Source organism: Homo sapiens, chromosome 1 (genome assembly GCF_000001405.40).
Source record: "Homo sapiens chromosome 1, GRCh38.p14 Primary Assembly".
Taxonomy (NCBI): Eukaryota; Metazoa; Chordata; class Mammalia; order Primates; family Hominidae; genus Homo; species Homo sapiens.
In genome coordinates this window covers 120146061-120150897 of record NC_000001.11, presented here as the reverse complement: position 1 = coordinate 120150897, position 4837 = coordinate 120146061, and positions in this window count along the sequence as shown.

Below are 4837 nucleotides of genomic sequence, written 5' to 3'. Positions count from 1 at the left end.
AAACTCGGTCCCCTTCTGTTTCTCTACGATGTTTTGATGCAGCATGAGGCAGTCATGAGAACCCACCAGATACAGCTGCCTGATCCTGAATTTCCCAGCCAACAGAACCAAGTGCTAAATAAAACTCTTTTTAATAAGTTACCCACTCTCAGGTATTCTATTATCGCAACAGAAAACAGTTTAAGACACCTGCTAGGCTCCTAACCTTGAGGGGCTAGAAAACAAAGCCAGAGGTCCAATACCAGCCTCCTCAGAGTTAGAACACACAGCTCATGAGTGCTGAGCTCAGCCTTGGCCCCTACAGTCTTCCAGAAATGAGGCCACTTGGCTGAGCCCATTATATGCAATATTCAGACCACCAAGGGCATCAAAGAAGACAAAAGCAGAAAAACCTATCCAAGAAACAGCAACTTCAAAGGTTGAAGCAACATCAGACCACACAGGTGAGAACCAGCACAAGAACTCCGGCAACTCAAAAAGCCAGAGTGCCTTCTTACCTTCAAGCAACTGCACTATTTCCTCAACAGTGGTTCTTAACCAGGCTGACATGACAAAAATAGAGTTCTGAATATGGATAACTTTGAGGAACATAGATGCAAAAATCCTCAATGACTCAATTTGCTGGACTAGCAAACCAAGCCCAGCAGCATGTCAAAAACGAATCCACCACAATCAAGCAAGCTTTATCCCTGGGATGCAAGTTTGGTTCAACATATGCAAATCAATAAATGTGATTCATCACATAAACAACTAAAAACAAAAACCACATGGTCATCTCAATAGATGCAGAAAGGGCTTTCAATAAAATTCAACATCCCTTCATGTTAAAAACCCTCAGCAAACTAGGCATTAGAGGAACATACTTCAAAATAAGAGCCATCTATGATAAGCCCACAGCCAACATCATACTGAATGGGCCAAATGCTAGAAATACTCCCTGTGAGAACCAGAATAAGACAAAGATGCCCACTCTCACCAATCCTATTCAACATAGTACTGAGAGTCCTAGTCAGAGATAACCTGTTAGAGAAAGAAATATAAGACATCCAAGGAAAAGAGGAAGTCAAACTATCTCTGCAGACAATATGATTCTGTAGAAAACCCCATAGTCTTTGCCTAAAAGCTCTTTGATCTGATAAACAATTAGCAAAGTTTCAGGATACAAAATTAATGTACAAAAATTAGTGGCATTTCTATACACCAATAGCATTCAATCTGAGGGTCAAAATCAAGAATGCAATCTCATTCACAATAGCCATACACACACAAAAATACCTAGAAATATAGATAACAAGGGAGGTGAAAGATCTCTACAAAAAGAATTACAACACTACTCAAATCAGAGATGACACAAACAAATGGAAAAAGATTCCATGCTCATGGATAGGAAGAATTAGTGTTGTTAAAATGGCTGTACTTCCCAATGCAGTTTATGGATTCAATGCTATTCCTATGAAACTACCAGTGACATACTTCACAGAATTAGAAAAAAAAACTTTTAAAATTCATATGGAACTTAAAAAAGAGCCTGAATAGCCATAACAATCTTAAGCAAAATGAACAAAGCTGAAGGCATTACACTACCCAATTTCAACTATAATACAAGGCTTCGGTAACCAAAACAGCAGGGTACTGGTACAAAAACAGACACATAGACCAATGGAACAGAAAAGAGCCCAGAAATAATGCTGCACACCTATGATCTGATATTTGAAAAAAGTTGACAAAAACAAGCAATGAGAAAAGGACTCCCTATTCAATAAATGGTGCTGAAATAAGTGGCTAGCCATATGCATAAGATTGAAACTGGACCCCTTCCCTTTGCCATATACAAAAATCAACTCATATGAAGTAAAGACTTAGATATAAAACCTAAAACTATAAAAGCCGTGGAAGGTAGCCTGGGAAATACTATTCTGGAATAGGACCTGGCAAAGATTTCATAACAAAGATGCCAAAAACAATTGCAACTAAAACAAAAATTGACAAATGGAATCTAATTAAAGAGCTTTAGCATAGCCAAAAACAAACAAACAAAACAGTGAACACGGTAAACAGATAACCTACAGAATGAGAGAAAATATTTGCAAACTATGCATCCTAGAGAAGTCTAATATCCAGAATTTATAAGGAACTTTATAAGCAAAAAACAACCTCATTAAAAAGTGGGCAAATGACACGAACAGACATTTTTCAAAAAGACATACATGTGGCCAAGAAGCATATGAAAAAATGTTCCACATCACTAATAATTAGAGAAATGCAAATCTAAACCACAATGAGATACCATCTCATACCAATCAGAATGGCTATTAAAAAGTCAAAAAGCAATAGATGCTGGCGTGGTTGCAGAGAAAATGGAACACTTATATACTGCTAATGGGAATGTAAATTAGTTCAGCCGTTGTGCAAAGCACTTTGGTGATTTCTCAAAGAACCTGAAACAATTACCACTCGACCCAGCAATCCCATTATTGGATATATACCTAAAGGAATATAGATTGTTCTGCCATAAAGACACATGCACGCATATGTTCATCGCAGCACTATTCACGATAGCAAAGACATGGAATCAACCTAAATGCCCATCAGTGGTAGTCTGGATAAAGAAAATGTGGTACACGTACACCGTGGAATATACACAGCCATAAAAAAATAAGATTATGTTCTTTGCAGCAACATGGATGGAGCTGGAGGCAATTATCCCAAGCTAAATTATGTAGGAACAGAAAACCAAATACCGCATATTCTCACTTATAAGCGGGAGCTAAACATTGAGTACACATGTACACAAGGGAACAACAGACACCAAGGCCTACTTAACGGTAGAGGGTGGGAGGAGGGAGAGGACAGAAAAACTACCTATTGGGTACTGTGCTTATTACCAGGTAACAAAATAATCTGTACACCAAAACCTTAAAGAAAAGTTTTTTAAAAATGTAAAATAAAGCATATAGCAAAACAAACAAGACACCTGGTAAAGTTCTGCTCTTCCTTCAAAGACCCAGCTCAAATGTCTCTTTCATAAAGCCTTTCTGACATTCTCATACCCCCCTACTCTCTGACCTGGGAGAAGCTGTGTTTTCATTCTCCCACAATAACTTGTTCATATTTCTATTATAAAACCTACAAATTTAAACTAGCTGTCAGTGCATACTTGTTTGTCTCCTTGGCTATGTGCCTTATGAGATGCCTGGGATAGAGATCAATTATTATTCAATTTGAATCCTTGGCATTGGGTACAGTGGCTGACACATTGGAGGTGTGCAACAAATATTCATGGTATAAGTTCACTGAATTACAGAGATGTATGCATAAGTTTTTTGGAACTGGGTTTCATGAATCATAGGTACACACAATTTGAATAAAAGAAGAAAACAAAAGTGGGGCAAAACGGTGTAGGTCTAGTAATGAAATGGGAAAAGAAAGGCACATTGAAAAGTCGCAACAAAAGAGAGAACCAGTACAATTATATCAACATATAGTAAACACATTGGAGAAGGGAAAAAAATACAGCAAGTGAAATTGATTCTTTGGTGGCAGAAACAATTGAAAGGTATGGAGGCAAAGAAGGAGGAGAAATTAAGGCATAGAGATAAATTAGACTTGGGGAGAAAGCACAGAAGTCAAATATAGCAACAAATCTTGGACTGGGAATGTTTCCAATTGACCATTATGCTTACGATTACTTTTATGTTGTGGAGACAATATTTAATGAGCATTTCAGATCTGTTAACTAATTTTTTGAAAAAGTGACTCCAGTTCAGTGATAAATACCTTGACCAATATGCCATATAAAGTAAGAAATATTTTACCATACCCAAGAAACTGGTTTTACCGGCTTAGTTTTGACCAACTGATGGCAATTTGTACCTGCTAAACTCCCAATTTTTTACTTGCTGGTTGTGTAGGTAGGCAGTGAGGTTTGTTGGACTGGGCATGCAGGGACAAGCAGTTAGGCCAATACATGGACTGAAGATTATATCTATTTATCTGCCTTTTGTTTAGCTATTTGCATAAATATACAGAGTGGGTTTATTTGCACACTTAGAGCTTTAGAATAAAAGAACTTTGACTTTCAAATTGGTTTTTCTTGATTTTTAAAAATTTTTATACTCCACTTTTTCTTCCGTCTTTCTCAAACTCATTTTTCCCTAGTAGCAGAGTTGAGACTTAATATTACAAAACTCTGCTTGCTTTAAAGAATCTAAGAAGAAGAAGAAGAAAAAAAGACACTAAAGAACTTCCAAGCAGAAGTTTAAGAAGTTCTGCTATAGCCCATCCACTCGTTTGTGGAATTTAAATATATCCGTTTTTGCCACAATAACAGCGTAGCCTTGCTAGAATCATATACAAAGCAGCAGATTTCTTTCTATAAATTACTGGACACTGTGGTGTAATGTGGACATTGCTGAGGAGGGATGTAACTGCAACAGAAACAAATTACTTACATTGCATGCAGTAGGGAAGTGGGTGAAAAGAGCATTGAACTCTGAGTCGGGAGACGACTTCAAGGCCCAGCTCAGCACTCTAGCAGAACTTTAGGTAAGTTTTTTAGACACTGTGTACTTCAGTTTCCCCATGTGAAAATGAGAATAACGTCTGTTCTGCCTACTTCACTTGAACTATTTGAGGATAAAAGAAGGTAAAATGCAATAATGGTCATGAAGATTTTATAAACCTTGAAGTGATGTACAAGTATACCATACTGTTTCACTTCTATTACTATTATAACTGTTTAAAAAAGCATTTGTGACCAGTACAATCCTGGCTTTTCTCTGGAGACTAACATCCAGTTTCACAGTTATTTTACTTTTGATAGGGAAAAGGGAATTAT